This window comes from Homo sapiens, chromosome 4 (genome assembly GCF_000001405.40).
Source record: "Homo sapiens chromosome 4, GRCh38.p14 Primary Assembly".
NCBI lineage: Eukaryota > Metazoa > Chordata > Mammalia > Primates > Hominidae > Homo > Homo sapiens.
This window is the reverse complement of record NC_000004.12, coordinates 32141831-32160618: the sequence shown is the minus strand read 5'-3', so window position 1 is coordinate 32160618 and position 18788 is coordinate 32141831. Positions and strand designations below refer to the sequence as shown.

Genomic DNA, 18788 nt, shown 5'->3' with positions numbered 1-18788 from the left:
TATTTTTAGAATGACATTGTCTTAAAAATAGATCCATCACGTTCATTTGAAAAGGAGAAAGGAAGGAAGGAAGACAGGGAGGGAAGGAAGGAGAGAAGGAGGAAGGAAGGGATGTAGGGAAGGAAAGAGCAAGGGAAGGAGAGAAAGAAGGAGGGAGAAATAGAAGTTCATACTCCAGAATGTATCTTAGGGGACTCCTCTTGCTTTCCTAGGCTAATTCTGTTTGCTATAGTTTTGTCTTAAATTTGTATGTTTATAGTCTTCTGAAGAAGATTTGGATGATTAGCTATAGATTTAAATTCTACATGTCCTTTTCTCTACCTCAATTAATCCAGAGCTCCACCACAGAAAATCAACAATTGATTATTTATAATTGTTATAATATAAAATAGTATGTGTCATAATCTTGTATCAGGTAAAGTCAGCATATTAAAGTGGTAATCTATATATTTCAAAAGTGACTGGAAGCAGTTAAGATAACTATTTGAAGCCCAGCTAGTACCAGACTTTTTAAAAAGGAAGGGGTTAGTCAAGTTTTACTCCCATATAGCCTTAGTCTCATTTCATGATTTAATTTTGTAGAGGGAAACTTAGCTATTGTTTACCTATGTCAACCTCAAAAGTTTGGGGAAATTTGAATGCAGACAAAGATCAGTGATTAGACAATAGAAACAATTGAAATTGCAACTAAGCTGGCACGGCGGCTTATGCCTGTAGTCCCAGCACTTTGGGAGGCCGAGTTTGAGTGGATCACCTGAGGTCAGGAGTTCGAGACCAGCCTGGACAACATGGTGAAACTCCATCTCTACTAAAAATATAAAAATTAGCCAGGCGTGGTGGTGGGCACCTGTAATCCCAGCTACTTGGGAGGCTGAGGCAGGAGAATTGCTTGAACCCGGGAGGCAGAGGTTGCAGTGAGCTAAGGTTGCACCACTGTACTCCAGCCTGGGTGACAGAGTGAGATTCAACCACACACACACACACACACACACAAAATTAAATTGCAACTAAAAGTAAATATATGTAGTTCTACAGATACACAGTGGCTATAAACGTGAAATAATCACTCTTTTAATCACTCTTTTAAGTATCTTCCAAGATGTATAAAACAAAAGACAAAAACAAGACTGTGTTGCTTAAACATTTTCCGAAAACTGAATACAGGAAAAAAAACATTAATTGAAAATATGCGCTAATGTTTACAAAACTGAGAAACTGGGACTGCTTAGGATTTTTGTACCTTTCATCACTGGTGGCATGATTCTTTATCCCATAAATCGTCCTACCTCCAAATGATATGTGCCTCATGGTCTTTCTTTTGTTATCACTTCCCTCCTACCTAGGTAGTTAGCACAACTTCAAATACCAATTCACTCTGTCCTTGAAGAATTTCTCCTACTTGCTGTGCTTATAAAAAGTCATTATGGAACACTTTGGAGTAATCCCAAGTTTTAGACATAATGAGAGAGAACAGGTGCACAGAGAATGAGAAGAATTTATTATGCACATTATTGGATTTTTTTTTGATAGAGTGAGTCTAATTGGTTAGATCCATCAAAATAAAGCCCAGTATCATATTAGATGACTTATCTCTACATATTTTAAAAGGTGAAAAAAGGAGTGTGGATGAGTGAGTTGTGCAAAAGTCTAGCAGTGTAATGTCTGTGAGGTGTTACCTCTGTATTTACTAATTAGTCTTGTGACTTTGGAACGTGACAGTATTTCTGCCTCTATTTTTCTTAATGTGCTTGTTAAAAAGAAGGGATATGTGGTGAATTAAAATGGGTAAAAATACAAATTCAAAATATAAGTTTTAATCAAAGTGATATGATTAAATAAACAATGATTAAGCACAGTTTTTCCTATGTGGAAATATACTGCTGTAAATTATGCATATATGGGAAACCTGAGGAATTTCTATTTCTTTTATAATCTCAAATATTATGTTAAGTGTTACATAAATATGTATACCATAGAAATACAAAATTTCAAATGCAATATATCAGAAATAATATAAAGGTATTTTTTGGCCATCTGCAACTCAGTTATGTATTCATCTTATGAAATAACCTAAAAGTATAAAACCATTTCATGAATAAAAATTTAGATATGCAGAGCTATTGAAATTACTAAAATATTCAGAATTCATTTTGATTTCCCTTGAAGGTACACATATAATTTTATAATAAAATTGCTTTTGACTACCTAAAGATGATGTTTTCATGCAGAAAATTTCTTCTGTTAGAAAAATTAATGTTAATGAGTTTATTTTGAAAATGCTTAAATGTTTGGTTATTAAGTAGACTTTTGGATGTAATTTTCAGAAAAAAGAATAGTGCATAGTGACCTCCTTGAATACATAAACCTTTTGGCATTAGTTGTTTTGATTATTTATTATTGTAATAATTTTGTTCTCTCATCCATAAAGCCTAAGCAAAAATACAAAACGTTTTTACTTTTAAATAGTATTTTATATATACATACACAACAACAACAAAACAGCAGAAACAAACTTAGAGTGTAAAAGTTAGATATACCTGAAGGAGCCCAGTGGCAAAAGCCAGGCATTTGTAGATATCAACTGGTTCAGGTCCTGGCTGTGCACATATTTGATGTATGATCTTGGGCCTCTTGCAAAAACTGTCTATGCTTCACTGTTTTTTCTAACATAAAAACATTGGAGGAAAAATGTAATATTGATAATGCTTTCCTCATAGGGTTATTGTAAGTCTTAAATAATATAATCCATAAATGTGAAACACAGTGCCTGGGACACAGTAATCATTTAAAAAGTATTGTTATTATTATTAGCCATTACATTTTACATACTCTCTTCATATTATTTGTCCAACAACTTTTTTACAAATAAGCAGCATTTCTTATTTTTATACATACAATCATTGGACACCATGAAAATTAAAATACTTGCTCAATTAAAATAATATAAAGTTCCATAACTGAAGCCAGAATTTCAGATTGAAATATTTAAGAAATTTTCTAATTATTGTTACTTTATTTATTCATCCATCCATTTATCTGGTCATTCATTTAAAAGAATATTTAAATGAATATTTTTGAGCAAATAATACTTCATTCTGTGTACTCTGATATGCTCTAGGAATAAAATGGATAAAATGTCTGCTTAGAAGCAATGGAGGGTAAGAAGGAAGGAAAGAAGGCAATAAACCCATAATGTAAATGGGAAGTAAATGACAGGGGAAAAATGAAAAAGGGTCTTAGTGGGGTTAGCAAAACAAATCTAAGGAATTAGAAAAAGCAATCCCAGGAATAAAATTTAAGCTGAGATTTGATGAAGTTTACCATTAGAAGTAGTAGTACTAGGCCGGCGTGGTGGCTCACGCCTGTAATCCCAGCACTTTGGGAGGCTGAGATGGGTGCATTACCTGAGGTCAGGCATTCGAGACCAGCCTGGCCAACATGGCAAAACCCCATCTCTACTAAAAAAATACAAAAAAAATTACCCAGGCATGGTGGCATGTGCCCGTAGCACCAGCTATTCAGGAGGCTGAGGCAGGAGAATTGCTTGAATCCGGGAGGTGGAGGTTGCAGTGAGCTGAGATTGTGCCATTGCACTCCAGCCTGGGCAACAAGAGCAAAACTCTGTCACACACACACACACACACACACACACACACACACACACAAAACAAACAAACAAAAACAACAACAACAAAAAACAAAGTGGTAGTATTAGTAATAATACTACCGTAAAATGAAGTTTTTGAAAACTTCCCACACTCCAGTATCTATGCTAGTAAGAAGCTGAATGGAGATTTAAACCAACACATTTTCAATAATATTCCTCCAGCAATGGGAGACAGAAGTAGAACAAAGAATCCCATGAGTTCCAGGCAGAGGAAAAGATATGTAAGAGATAAGGAAGGGGCTAGTTTGTTTAGTACCCTCTGAACCAGGTTAAGAAGTTTGAGTCTAATCTATGAGTGAGAACATGCGGTGTTTGGTTTTTTGTCCTTGCAATAGTTTGCTGAGAATGATGGTTTCCAGCTTCATCCATGTCCCTACAAAGGACATTAACTCATCATTTTTTATGGCTGCATAGTATTCCATGGTGTATATGTGCCACATTTTCTTAATCCAGTCTATGCTTGTTGGACATTTGGGTTGGTTCCAAGTCTTTGCTATTGTGAGTAGTGCCACAATAAACATACGTGTGCATGTGTCTTTATAGCAGCGTGATTTATATTCCTTTGGGTATATACCCAGTAATGAACAATGAGAACACTTGGACACAGGAAAGCGAACATCGCACACCAGGGCCTGTTGTGGGGAGGGAGGAGGGGAGAGGGGGGAGGGATAGCATTAGGAGATATACCTAATGTAAATGACGAGTTAATGAGTGCAGCACACCAACATGGCACATGAATACAGATGTAACAAACCTGCACGTTGTGCACATGTACCCTAGAACTTAAACTATAATTAAAAAATATATATATAAAGAAGTTTGAGTCTAACCTAAGGAGTATGGAAAGACAAAGTAGAATTTAAAGTGCAGGAATAATGATCTGGTTTGGAGTTTTGGAATGTCACACAGATTCCAAGGAAAAGAGACAAGTGGTGGACTATATAGAATTTGAGGTGAGGTATGATTGGATAGCACTTACTGATACTGAGATGAGATAGATTCTGGCAATGGTGGTAGAACTGGTTAATATTAATATTCCACAAAGAAACATAGAATCAATGTGATTCTGGAGTCAGGGATGACTCCTGGTTTAGATGTGAATAAGAACAGCACGATGCTTGAGCAAAATGCAGAGATAAAGGATTTAATTTTAAATACATTGAATTAAACATACATTTAAGCTCAGTAAGGTATTTGCTATTATTATGTTTACATTTATGATGATGGTGACGATGATGGTGCTGGTGATGATGACAACATTTATTTGGAGCAAACCCTGTGCCAGGAACTGTTCTTCACATGCAGCAAGTCATCTAGATTCCCCATTGAGTAAAATAAACATGTTAAAAACATTATAATGGATATAACTCATAATACAGTGATTAGTCAGCCAATCAGCAAATGTTAAAGATAGATTTCTTAACACCAAGATAGTTCTGTGTTGAAGATGAAAGACGGTAGGAGCTTAAACTAGGCAATTAAACTTATATGGTGAGGAGAAAACACAAAACAAAACAAAAAACAGCTGGGTGCAGTGGCTTGTACCTGTAATCCCAGCTACTCAGGAGGCTGAGATGGATGAATTGCTTGAAGCCAGGAGTTCAAGACCAGCCAGGGTGACAGAGCAAGACCTTGTCTCTAAAAAGAATAAATAAATAAATAAATAAATAAATAAATAAATAAATAAAATGGACTATAGCAGAAGCTAGCAACACCAATATTTATGGGAAGAATCCAGAAAGAAGCTTATGAGCATGAGATTGAGAAGCTGTATCCAAAGAGCATTTTAAAGTTACTGAGTAAGCAACACTGTCAAATGTGTTTAAACATAAAGTTTTAAATGTTTTCCATTGGGGAGAACAACGGGTTACTTTCTAAAGACTTCTTGTAGTTGAGAGAGAAATATAATAAAAGTAAGTTTAAACACTGATTCAAAAATTTAACTTTGAAGAGAAAGTAATAAATCAGTATCTAGAAACCAAAATAGGGGTTCAAAAAGTTTATTTTTAGATGAGAAAAAAATTGAGCATATTTATTAGGTTGGTGCAAAAGCAATTGCAATTTTTGCCATTAAAAGTAATGGCATGCTGGCCGGGCACGGTGTCTCACGCCTGTAATCCCAGCACTTTGGGAGGCTGAGGCTGGCAGATCACGAGGTCAGGATATTGAGACCATCCTGGCTAACACAGTGAAACCCCATCTCCACTAAAAATACAAAAAATTAGCCAGGTGTGGTGGCAGGCGCCTGTAGTCCCAGCTACTAGAGTGGCATGAACTCGGAAGGCGGACCTTGCAGTGAGCCGAGATTGCACCACTGCACTCCAGCCTGGGCGACAGAGCTAGACTCCATCTCAAAAAAAAAAAAAAAAAAAAAAAAAAAAAAGAAAGTAATGGCATGCTACTGGGAAAAAGCGGAGAAGGAGCAGATACCAAACAGTTGCTGTTTTACAGTGTATTGCATTGTTATAGAGGAATGCCTCAGGCTGAGCAGTTTATAAAGAGAAGAGATTTACTTTGGCTCATCGTTCTGCAGACTGTAAAAGAAACATAGCGTCAGCATCTACTTCTGGTGAGAACCTCAGGAAGCTTAAAATCATGGCAGACAGTGGAATGCGGAACAGCCATGTCACGTGGCAGGAGAAGGAGCAAGGGAGAGAAGAAGGAGGTCCCAATCTTTTTTTAACAACCAGCTCTCACATGAACTTATCACTGGAGAGCACCAAACCATTCATAAGGGATCTGTCCCAATGACACAAACATCTCCCATTAGGCCCCACATTCAACATTGGGAATCACATATCAACATGCAATTTGGAGTGGGCAAACATCCAAACTATATAACTTGTTACTTTCTAAGACAAGATCTCTGAATTGCATGGTTAGGGAGTGGTATTCACTAAGGCAGTCGTTCTCAACTTAAGATGATTTGGCCTCATGTCTGAAAACGTTTGTCACAGCTAGGGGTGGCCGTTTGCCACTGGCATTTAGTGGTCAAAGGGTTGCTGCTAAACAATGTAAAGTGAACCCGTTAAAAAAATGCCAATAGCATCAAGGTAGAGAACCTGTACAGTAAAGGCACAGGTAGAGCCTTATAAAAGAGGAGGAGCTATTGTCCCAGGACAGAGAAGATGCGATGCTGCCTCATTTGAAGACAAAAGAATTGTTGAGGACATCTAATGACATTAATTGTAAAAATACAGACAACAGCAAATAGCTTTTAAAGAGAGTACAGAAGTAGAAGGTTAAGGAAGTGGTCCTGAATGCCACTTAGGGTTGTTAATCTGATGTTTACTGGCAGTGGTCTTAAAGTTATATATATATATATATATACACATACATACATACATACACATACATACATATATATACACACACACACATATATATACACACACATATATATGTACACATACACACACACACACACACACATATATATATACACATAAATTCAAAACCATTTAGCAATCCTGATACGTGATTTGGAAGGCTGGTAGATGGGGTTAAAATTGAATATTTTATGAAGAAATGAAATAGAAGCCGAAAAGAATGAGAGTAGGATAATCATATTGTAAAAGTTAAGCCATGAAGAATTAAGAAGAGGGAATAGCTGAAAGTTGGAAAGTCAATACTCTGGACATTATTGAACTGGTATATTGGGATTAATTGGTATTGCTATTATTTAAATGTTATTAGCCTATTGATAACCATTCATCAGATTATTACATAAATCCACATGAAGTTTTAAATTAAATGATTTATCAATTATTTGACTCATTTTGAACATTCAAATATCATTTTCTCACTCGTGAAAAGTGCAGAATTATGTAATTTAATAATACTGAAATAAATGAAATTAAGTTTGGAAAACATTATAGTTTTTAACATACATATCACAAAAATCATCTAAATGTATTTTGAGTGCTTACATTACATATTTAGGCTTATCAAAAAAAGTTAAATAATGGAAAGAAAAGAACAAAGATGAAATTCAGAGAACAGGGGAGTTTTGTCTTCTTTTGGGTTGCTTTAATTATAATTTAATATCTTTACAAAGGTAATTTGAAAAAATTGGGATTGTCAGGTAGAGGGAGAGTATTGAAGTATGATAAACACCATGTTCAAGTGTTCTGTTAGAATGTCCTTCAAAGTCTTTTTTTTTCTTTTGAAGCTTGAGTATCACATATTTTCATTCCAGAAATACATATTTACTTGCTAGGTCTTTGATGTGTATCACTGAAGTGGGGAAAATAATCCCCCTTACCCCAAAGGATGTTACATTCTTGCCAAGGCCACATATAATAAACAGATATGCAATTGTGTACATAATATGATATTAAATATGATCAATAATATTAAGGAATATAAAGCACACTAAGGAGACAGATAATAGAGTGGGACCTGCTGTTTTATGACGGATGGTCAGAGAAGGACTTTGATGAGGAACTTGATTCCTCTGTTTTGATGATGGGAAATAAGAAACTGCCTATAGGTTCATGACAGTCCCTTTTAACTTTCTTCTATAAAGCTACAAAGTTTTTCTGTTTATCTAGGGCCACAACTTGATAGTGTCTTTTTTTTTAAATATTAAAATACTTGTCCAGGTATGGTGACTCATGCCTGTAATCCTAGCATTTTGGGAGACTGAGATGGGTGGATCACTTGAGCTCAGGAGTTTGAAACTAGCCTGGTCAACACGGCAAAACCCCATCTTTACCAAAAATACAAAAATCAGCTGGGCATGGTGGTGTGCACTTGTGGTCCCAGCTACTTGGGAGGCTGAAGTGGGAGGCTGGCTTAAGCCTGGGAGGTGGAGCTTGCAGTGAGCTGAGATGGCACCACTATACTCCAGACTGGCTGACCGAGTGAGATCCCATCTCAAAATAAAAAAGCCTCTAACTTCATTAATATTAAATCAGAGATATGCAATTATTTAATTGCCACCATTTGATTTTAAAATTTAGATTACTCTAAGCCAATAGAAGATATTGAAAAATAAATGTATTTAAATTAATATTGTAAAATATGAGATTTGGCAGATAATCTGATGATGGTGCTAGCAGGTGGTGACATAAATGAATTCTCCTTGCAGAAAAGTACATTCTTAACTACCATTTGCCCTTAGAATTCCAATATACTATGAAAAGTGAGAATAACCCTCTTTGGACAAAGAAAATGGTTCTTACATAATTCTTCATCTTCAGAAATGGCATCTGTATTTGGAGTTATTATGTAAGCAATATGAATACATAAATAAACTTTAGAAATTATGATATACATTTTCAAAAATAATGTACAACATATAATAAAAACATTTTTCTCTTCTCAGTTAATTAAGTTTGTAGCCAAAGCGAATACACATTTTTTCCTGTAACAGAATAAAATGAAAAGACTAAGAGAATGCACAGAATACCATACAATGGACTAGTATAAGAGTTATCTCTGGGTAAGTAGGGTTAACTTTGTATGGGAGGTATAACAGCAAAACCACTGTGTTGCTCATTTATGAATTAAAAAAATATAGAATGCCTTCTATGTGCAAAGCATGGTAAGAGTTACTACTTATACATTGGCGTATATATAGTCCTTATTTTCATACATTTTATATATTTCTTTTTTTTTGAGATGAAGTTTCGCTCTTGTTGCCCAGGCTGGAGTGCAACGGCATGATCTTGGCTCACTGCAACCTCTGCCTCCTGGGTTGAAGCGATTCTCCTGCCTCAGCCTCATGAGTAGCTGGGATTACAGGCATGCGCCACCACGCCCAGCTAATTTTGTATTTTTAGTAGAGGCGGGGCTTCTCCATGTTGTTCAGGCTGGTCTTGAACTCAGGTCGTCAGGTGATCCGCCCACCATGGCCTCCCAAAGTGCTGGGATTACAGGCATGAGCCACCACACCCAGCCAATTTTATGTATTTCCAAGTGCAAAAGAAAAATACGAAGATAATTTAAACTAGTACGTGAACAGCTTTAGTTTATATTTTAAAATATATGTTACCTCTAATATGGTTAAACTGATGTGTATGTGTGTGTTTCTAGAAGTTAGATATAAGATGGTTAATACAAGCTAGAAATGATACTGCCCTGGATGTTCGTAGTAGTAGTAGAAATGGAAGGTAGTACAAGGATTGCAAAGATATTTTTGAAGACTTGTTCATAGAAGTAATGAGACTCAGAGATAACGAGGAATCAGAGATGAGTTCTAGGTTTCAGGTTTGAGCACATGATATATGGTTATGCATTTAATTAAATAGGGAATAAAAGGGAAATGGAAAAATTTCTGCGATGAGGACAAGTGTCGTTTTAGTTTTGAAATACTGTATGTTTATTCATAGTGACAGAAAGGAATGGGCTGAAGGACTTGGAGTAGGCAGTGGAATCTCATGGGCAAGGAACTCCAGAGGTGCAAAGGCTGGACACACAGAAGCTCACTGATACGTGACTGAGTTTTAGCCATTTTGCTTCCAGGGTAGTCTGTGTAATCCTTCAAGGGCAAAATGCTCATTTCTAAGGACCAACCAAACCAAATTCATCAAGCCTCCCAAGGTTATCCAATAAAAGTTTGTTAGTTAGGGACAGGAACAGCTAGCTGCCCTTAAGCACTTAATCGCCTTGGAACTAACTGTGAGTTGTGCTGTGAAAAAAGTTTTTAAAGAGTCCATTGCTAAAAAACCTTTTTTTCCAAAACATTGAAATCTGAATTTACAGTAATGTAAATAGTAAAACTTTGATGTCAGACTTGCCATTTTCACTACTCTTCAACAAGTTCAGGCTTCAGTAGTTAGTTCAGAATGCACTTTTACAAGAATTACCTTCCAAAGTCAAAAGAATACAAATAGTTTAAAGGGGTTTATTCCTCGAGAATATTTTTATTCTTATGCGCATTTGTTTCAAGTTTTAACTTGTATGAACCTCTCATAAAACAACTGGTTTTTATGAATACACTGATAAGGACAGCTCATTCCTGTTCTTGCCACAGCAAAAATTCAGCCGCTCAAGGCTCCTGCTGGCTGCAACAAAGATTGAACATCCACTTTAAATGCCCTTACATTTTTATCCATTAATTTATATTTTCTTATCTCAAAGATTTTTCCGAGGGAGTCTTTCTTGTCTATGTGGGCAAAAGTGAACAATCATATAGCTATCAAAGACCACCATTCTTCATCTTTCTGAATTGTCTATTTTACCAGAATAAAAATTTATTTGATAATAGAACCTGCCTCTGCAAAGCATGATTTCACAACGCTGTTAAGTGTACCTTTAAAAGTAAGGAAGCTCCCCAAATTACAACTAAATGATCAAACAGAAAGACAATACAACAAAATACGATAATAATCTTTTTTCTTCAATACAATTTTACACAGCCAAACAATTGGTAGGACATGGTTTGAATCTCTATGAGGATTCATAGCCAGGTTCCACTATTAATATGAAGTAGAAAAAAAATAAAATGAAATTATTCCTATTATCTTCTTTCATAAAACAGTAATTCATTTAAAAAGCCTCATGTATATTATGTGCTCTCCAAATATGTTCTTCATTTTAGCTATGAGATTGTCCATTTCCCAGCTGAAAAATACAGATTCTGATGTTAAACCTTGCCATGTCCCTAAAAACTCTATTGGCTTTGTAGTTTAGAGTAACTCCAGGTGAACTAGATTGCTGGACATGTTACAAATAATATTGCTTTTATACGTTTGATTTAATGTTGAGTATGCCTACTAAGTGGGGAGGCATAAAGGAAATCCTAAGAAAAATTTATATGAATGAGTGTATTTTTATTTCGACTTTGCAAAATTGCCTTAGATTATAAGTTTCTTACACATTTTATTTCATGATTTATTTGTGGCAGTCAGCATACATAGGGATTTGACCAGTATTAGGGAGAATAATGATGAAGACTTACTTTCAGTTAATAAATACTTGAGTAGCTAAATGCGTGAGGCGGAGTAACACCAATCTGATAAATGTGATATTTTAGTAAAGACAGAAAAGAAAATCTACTATAAATTATGTATCATATATCTGTTTTTGTTTTGAAATTAAATCTCATTTTAAACAAAAAATAATCACTCTAATTTGGCAAGGTTATATTGAATTATTAAAAAATCTGTACTTATGAGTATATATTAAATTATTTTTTACTATATATAAATATATATTATATTATATATTAACATATTATATATAAACATATATTAATATATTATATATATTAAAAATATATACTTATGAGTGAGATAGATTTTCAGATGTCTATGTGATTTTTTTGTAGATAACAAACTATTTGGAGAAGATGACTTAAATTATTCAGGCAACACATCTTGGTTATGTACATTATTTGATTTATCAAATAATTATCAATAGTTAAATTTGTGCTATATAGAACTGATGTTAGACCGACAGGTTAAAGTAATATTCATGCCCAATAAAATACTCCTGAACTAAGTATGCTATAATGATATGAAAGATGACTTGGCAGATTTTTAGACACAGTAGGTTTCATTTGGCAAAGGAATATTCTAAGAATGTTTTTCCCCACTCCCAATAGCTCTACCAAGTCCGCTCATTTCAATTCTGAGAGTTTCAAAGTTGAGTTTAAAAAAAAGACCTACTTGGCAGCTGTTGCTATTACTCTGTCAAATAACTCACCCATTGTCTAGCTCTCAGTGGTGGTTATGTGGGAGGTCCCATAGTTTCTTTCCAGCTGTTACTTAGTCTTGGATAATGTTTTTGGTTCTGTGCAAATCCCAGCATGCAGACTGCTCCTTATAGCCTCAATAAAATTCCATTTAAGCCAAATGAATTAAAAGTTGGTATAAACAAAGTTTAGAAAAAAATAATTAAGAACTCTCTCTGAACTGGCTCATGACTTGGAAGTTTCATCTTAAATAAACCTGTCACCTTGCAGGATAAAATACCACAGGCAGATTTGCAGTAGCCTGATCCTACCTTTTGCTTTTCTGAGCAAACTCTTAAAAGAGTTAGAAGAGCTTCTACAGAAATATCTGGAGCTTAAGAGTTGGCAGCATCTGTTCAGTATGATAACAGTAGCAGTCTTCTTGGCGGCAGCCTAAACCCTAAAATCCCCAAATATACCCAAGACTGAGAATCAGAGAAAAAAGGTTGCATTAAACCATAGTTTTCAAACCTTCCGAAGGTAATCACATCTGAAAAAGAGCTGTACCCAACTCTCCCTCCTCTGTCTCTCTCTCTCTCCCCCCCCACCAACACACACACACCCCATAAAACTTACGCACACACAGTAGAGGGAAAATGAGCTGGTATAGGACAGTCAAATGCAAAGTGAAAATGAAAATAGAGTGTGGTTTTGGAAACTGACTAAACGAGACCCAGTGGTTATTTACTGAATTAATCAATGAAATGACTTTTGGATATTCAAACCAATATTGGATGAGTAATATGCTTATAAATATATATTGCATTGAAACTTTAACTTTCAGCGACTTTCCCTATTCCTATATTAATATACCTAATTTTTGTTCTCCCTTACCTGTGCTGCTAATTATCCAGCCAGATAGCCTGGGCTTTAATCTCAGCTGTGTTCCTTATTTGCTGCCTCATTCTCTCACATGTAAAATGAAGATAAGCTAAATAGCCATCTCCTTGGTTAAAACAGTGCTAAGCGCATCATAAAGACATGTAAGTGCTTTTTATTATTATTCCGCAATCATTTTTACTAGAAATTTCTGTTGTTCACTGATGTCCTATGCTTAGACGAAAACATCAGCAAATGAGCTGCAACTGGTCAAGTACAGACACATCCTGTTGTTTCCTTCTAAAATGATGCTTTTGTTCAAATAAATTAATTGACCTATTAAAATGGAAACATTTAAATCTTCCCCAAAAGACTAATGTTTTCTGGATGTTACACCTACATAAGCATTGACAAAAAACAAGGCTTTATTTCCTCTTTTTTTATTACAGCATTCATGAGTGACATACTAATGATTGTAAAGTTTTTAAAATGTAAAATAGGGAAACATCTTAAAATTTATCAAGCTCTAAGTACCAAGGTCATTGATTTCAAAGAAAAAAAAATGTCTTCTCAGAATAAGAGATTAAAAATTACTCTAGGGCCAACATATATAGAATTTAAAAAATAATTTACTATTCATGGCTTTGGGCTATTTTTAAAGTTTTTTTTTATTTTTTTCATTGTTCTATCTATTGTACTATTTAGAAACTGTTGGATGGCTCAGAAAAGGCCAGTTTCCTAAAAAGGAGGCCGATTGTATTTAATCAATATTTTAGTTATTCTCAGTCAACTGTATTTTTCAATTGCCTTAGTTACACCACAAATTGACATACAAAGACTATACAATATCTAGGATTAAGGAAACAGACATAGCAAAATTATATTTCAAGAAATATTTTCTAAAACAGAGGATATAAAGAACATAAATACATTGAAAAAAAATCCCCACATTAAAGTGGACTCTATTGGTTATCTTTGTCTAATTTGTTTCATAGGATGTGATTTAGGGTTTGAAATGTGAGGAAAGGATAATGACCATAATTTATATCATTGTTGCTAGTATTAAAATAGCAATATTTATTATTGATATGACTGGTTGGGACTAAAGCCAGCTGTCCGATCCTAAGGACCCAGGGAGAAGTGTTCCTTCTCTGTGCTTTCTGGCCGGCATGGGGGAACATATACCTGCAGGAGAAGTTAGTTTCTGGTCTCCAGGGTCCACACAAAATTCTGCAGAGGGTTAGGTGGGTAGTCTGCCCTCTCCTGGCCTTCCAGGCTGCTGTTTCCTTGTCCGCAAGGCGACCATTTCCTGACACTTCCATTTAGGCTTCATATTCTTTGTTTCTTCCCTCAAGTTCACAAAAGCTTGATTTGATATGTTCCATTTGTAAGCAAAATATCTGCACGTTGGGAAAGAATACAGAGTAGCTTCAGCACTTTGAACCAATGAGGCTTGTGATAAAGCCTTCTTGATAGCATGACTATCTGTTTGCCTGCTTGAAAATGTTGTAGAACGAAAAATGCCTATTGGTTATATTTTGAGGCACCTTCATTCCTCAAGTGTGAATGAAAAATTGCATGGTTATGCTACCTGCTGGTTTCACATACCTTAGCCATTGTAATATGTTAGCTTTCTCATAACAATATCCTTTCTTCCAAGCAATGTTACATCAAGGAGTGCATATCCTCCTTGAGTTTCAAGGTACCTTTGCTTCTCTGTGTTGGACACTGGATAGTGCTAACCTTAACCTTTTTTTCCCATTCTATAATCTTCATTGGCCTTATAATATAGATCAAATTCTCTATTAATAAAGATGCCCTGTCATCAACTACATTCTACGGCTAGGAAACTTGGTTTTGTGCCTTCTATCTATATAGCTGTCTCAAATTCTCCACAGAAATAGAATTCTCAGGTAATTTCCTAGCCTAGAAACTGAGCATTCGTGCTAAAGTTTACTGAAGTCTTTTGGTGTGGCAAAAACAGTGGTGAGTTAAGAGAAAGTACAAGGTAATGTTTACATATATAAACATTTAGTAGTTCCACCTTATCAGTCATTTTGCTTGTTGCAGTTTCACTTACCCCAGGTCAACCTTGATTCAAAAATAGGTGAGTAAGGTATTATACAATGGGGTATTTTTAAAGGGAGAGAGAGAAGGAAAGACAATGTCCATGTAAATTTTTTTATAATATTTTGTTATAATTGTTCTGTTTTATTATTAACTACTGTTGTTAATCTCTTACTGTGCCTAATTTATAAATTAAACTTTACCATAGATATGTATGTATAGGAAAAACATAGTATATGTAAGGTCTAGGCATCTACTAGGAGTCTTTTTTTTAAAATTTTATTTAAGTTCCGGGATACATGTGCAGGATGTGCAGGTTTGTTACATAGGTAACAAACCTGTTTTGTTTGCTGCACCTATCAACCCATCACCTATGTATTAAGTACCAAATGCATTATCTATTTATCCCCCTGCCCCCCGAGAGGCCCTGGTGTGTGTTGTTCCCCACCCTGTGTCTATGTGTTCTCACTGTTCAACTCCCGCATATGAGTGAGAACATGTGGTGTTTGGTTTTCTGTTCCTGTGTTAGTTTGCTGAGGATAATGGTTTCCAACTTCATCCATGCCCCTGAAAAGGACATGACCTTTGTCCTTTCTATAGCTACATAGTGTTCATGGTGTATATGTACCACATTGTCTTTATCCAGTCTATCATTGATGGGCATTTGTATTGATTCCATGTCTTTGCTGTCATGAATAGTGCTGCAATAAACATACAGGTGCATGTATCTTTATAATAGAATGATTTATATTCCTTTAGGTATATACCCAGTAATGGGATATCTGGGTCTAATGGTATTTCTGGTTCTAGATCCTTGAGGAATTGCCGCACTGTCTTCCACAGTGGTTCAATTAATTTAGATTCCCACCAACAATGTAAAAGCATTCCTATTTCTACACAGCCTCGCCAGCATCTATTGTTTCTCGACTTCTTAATAATTGCCATTCTGACTGCTGTGAGATGATATCTCATTGTGATTTTAATTTGCATTTCTCTAATGATCAGTGATGTTGAGCTTTTCTTCATAGGTTTGTTGGCCTTATGAATGCCTTCTTTTGAGAAGTGTCTGTTCATGTTCTTTGCCCACTTTTTGATAGGGATTTTTTATGTAAATTTGTATGAGTTCCTTGTAGGTTCTGAATATTAGACCTTTGTCAGATGGATAGCTTGCAAAAATTTTCTCCCATTCTGTAGGTTGTTTATTTGTCCTGACGATAGTTTCTTTTGCTGTGCAGAAGCTCTTAATTAGATCTCATTTGTCAATTTTTGCTTTTGTTACAATTGCTTTGGTGATTTAGTCATAAAATCTCTGCCCATGCCTATGTCTTGAATGGTATTGCCTAGATTTCTTTCTAGGGTTTTTACGGTTTTGTGTTTTACATTTAAGCCTTTAATACATTTGAGCTAATTTTTATACAAGCTGTAAGGAAGGGGTCCAGTTTCAAATTAGGACTCAGGATTAAGAAACTCACAAAAAACTGCACAACTACATGGAAACTGAACAACCTGGTCCTTAATGACTACTAGGTAAATAACAGTAACCAAATCAGCATGGTACTGGTACCAAAACAGATATATAGACCAATGGAACAGAACAGACGCCTCAGAAATAACGCCACACATCTACAACCATCTGATCTTTGACAAACCTGAAAAAACAAGCAATGAGGAAAGGATTCCCTGTTTAATAAATGGTGTTGGAAAAACTGGCTAGCCATACGCAGAAAGCTGAAATTGGATCTCTTCCTTACATCTTATATAAAAATTAACTCAAGATGGATTAAAGACTTAAACATAAGACCTAAAACCAGAAAAACCCTAGAAGAAAACCTAGTCAGTACAATTCAGGACACAGGCATGGAAAAAGACTTAATGACTAAAACACCAAAAGCAATGGCAACAAAAGCCAAAATTGACAAATGGGATCTCATTAAACTAAAGAGCTTCTGCACAGCAAAGAAACTATCATCAGCATGAACAGGCAACCTACAGAACGGGAGAAAATTTTTGCAATCTATTCATCTGAAAAAGGGCTAATATCCAGAATCTACAAAGAACTTAAACAAATTTACAAGAAAAAAAAGAAACAGCACCTTCAAAATGTGGGCGATGGATATGAACAGACACTTCTCAAAAGAAGACGTTTATGCATCCAACAAACATGAAAAAAAAGCTCAACATCACTGGGCATTAGAGAAACGCAAATCAAATCCACAATGACATACCATCTCATGCCAGTTAGAATAGTGATCATTATAATGTCAGGAAACAACAGATGCTGGAGAGGATGTGGAGAAATAGGAACGCTTTTACACTGTTGGTGGGAGTGTAAATTAGTTCAACCATTGTGGAAGAAAGTGTGGGGATTCCTCAATGACCTAGAATGAGAAATACCATTTGACTCAATAATCCCATTACTGGGTATATACCCAAAGGATTATAAATCCCATGCACTTATGTTTATTATGGCACTGTTCACAACAACAAAGCTTTGGAAGCAACCCATATACACCATGGAATACTATGCAGCCATAAAAATGGATGAGTTCATGTCCTTTGCAGGGACCTGGATGAGGCTGGAAACCATCATTCTCAGCAAACTAACACAAGAACAGAAAACCAAACAACACATGTTCTTACTTATAGTGGAAGTTGAACAATGAGAACACATGGATACAGGGAGGGGAACATCACACACCAGGGCCTGTCAGGGAGTGTTGGGCTGGGGGAGGGATAGCATTAGGAGAAATACCTAATGTAGATGACAGGTTGATGGGTTCATGAATCCACCATGGGACATATACCTATGTAACGAACCTGCACATTCTGCACATGTAACCCACAACTTAAAGTACAATAATAAAAAAAAAAATCCTATAATGCTTACATTAAAAACAAGTTGAATTGTGTAGTTTTCAGAATGAGTTTTTAAATGTATTTCAGATAATGCATCATAAATATCTTTAAAACATTATTGGTTCAGGAAAGTTATGTAGCACCAAATTTATCCTGGCACCTATAATAAATTTTTAATGTACCAAATGTTGTTTTGAAGACTTATCTTATCTCTTGCATGAAGCATTTCCATTTTTCTCTGAGAGTTTGAAGAAGAGGAAGTGAAGTCACTAAACAGTTCTCCTGAGGTGGAATTTACTTCCTTACAAAAATAAGCCTAATTACTCCTTGAATACAAAATTTACTGAAGTAACAAGAAGATTCATATGAGTACTCTGATATGTGAAACAGAAAATATTCAAAGTCTTATTGTCAAGAGTCCATAATTAGAATTCTCTAGACTGAATAGTCATCCTTACTAGACATAAGGATAATTTACTCATACAAGAATTTGTCCATCATTTAAATATTTTGATAGCCATAGAGCACAAAATTATGTTCAGGCTAGCAAGTGAAGTTTTGCATTATCTCTTATGGGGGATTGGTCAGCGTGATGGAAGAAGCTGTAGGGAAAGAAGCAGACCTTTTGAAATGTCAGAAGGCTCTGCAAAACTTTGGAGGAGAATAAGCTGAAGGCAGCTGTTCTCTTACCCTGAAGCA

At 35.4% G+C, this 18788-nt stretch overlaps 1 long non-coding RNA gene across 1 annotated transcript in view; it reads right to left on the bottom strand.

Moving 5' to 3' along the window:
• Positions 1–5212: 5212 nt before the first annotated feature.
• The window catches only part of LINC02506 (long intergenic non-protein coding RNA 2506), a 158028-nt gene continuing 144452 nt past the window's right edge, over positions 5213–18788 (bottom strand). The window contains exons 2-3 of the long non-coding RNA NR_125936.1: positions 14352–14566; positions 5213–5305 (exon numbers count right to left, since the gene is read on the bottom strand). This is a non-coding gene — a long non-coding RNA (long intergenic non-protein coding RNA 2506). The remainder of the gene's footprint in view (positions 5306–14351; positions 14567–18788) is intronic.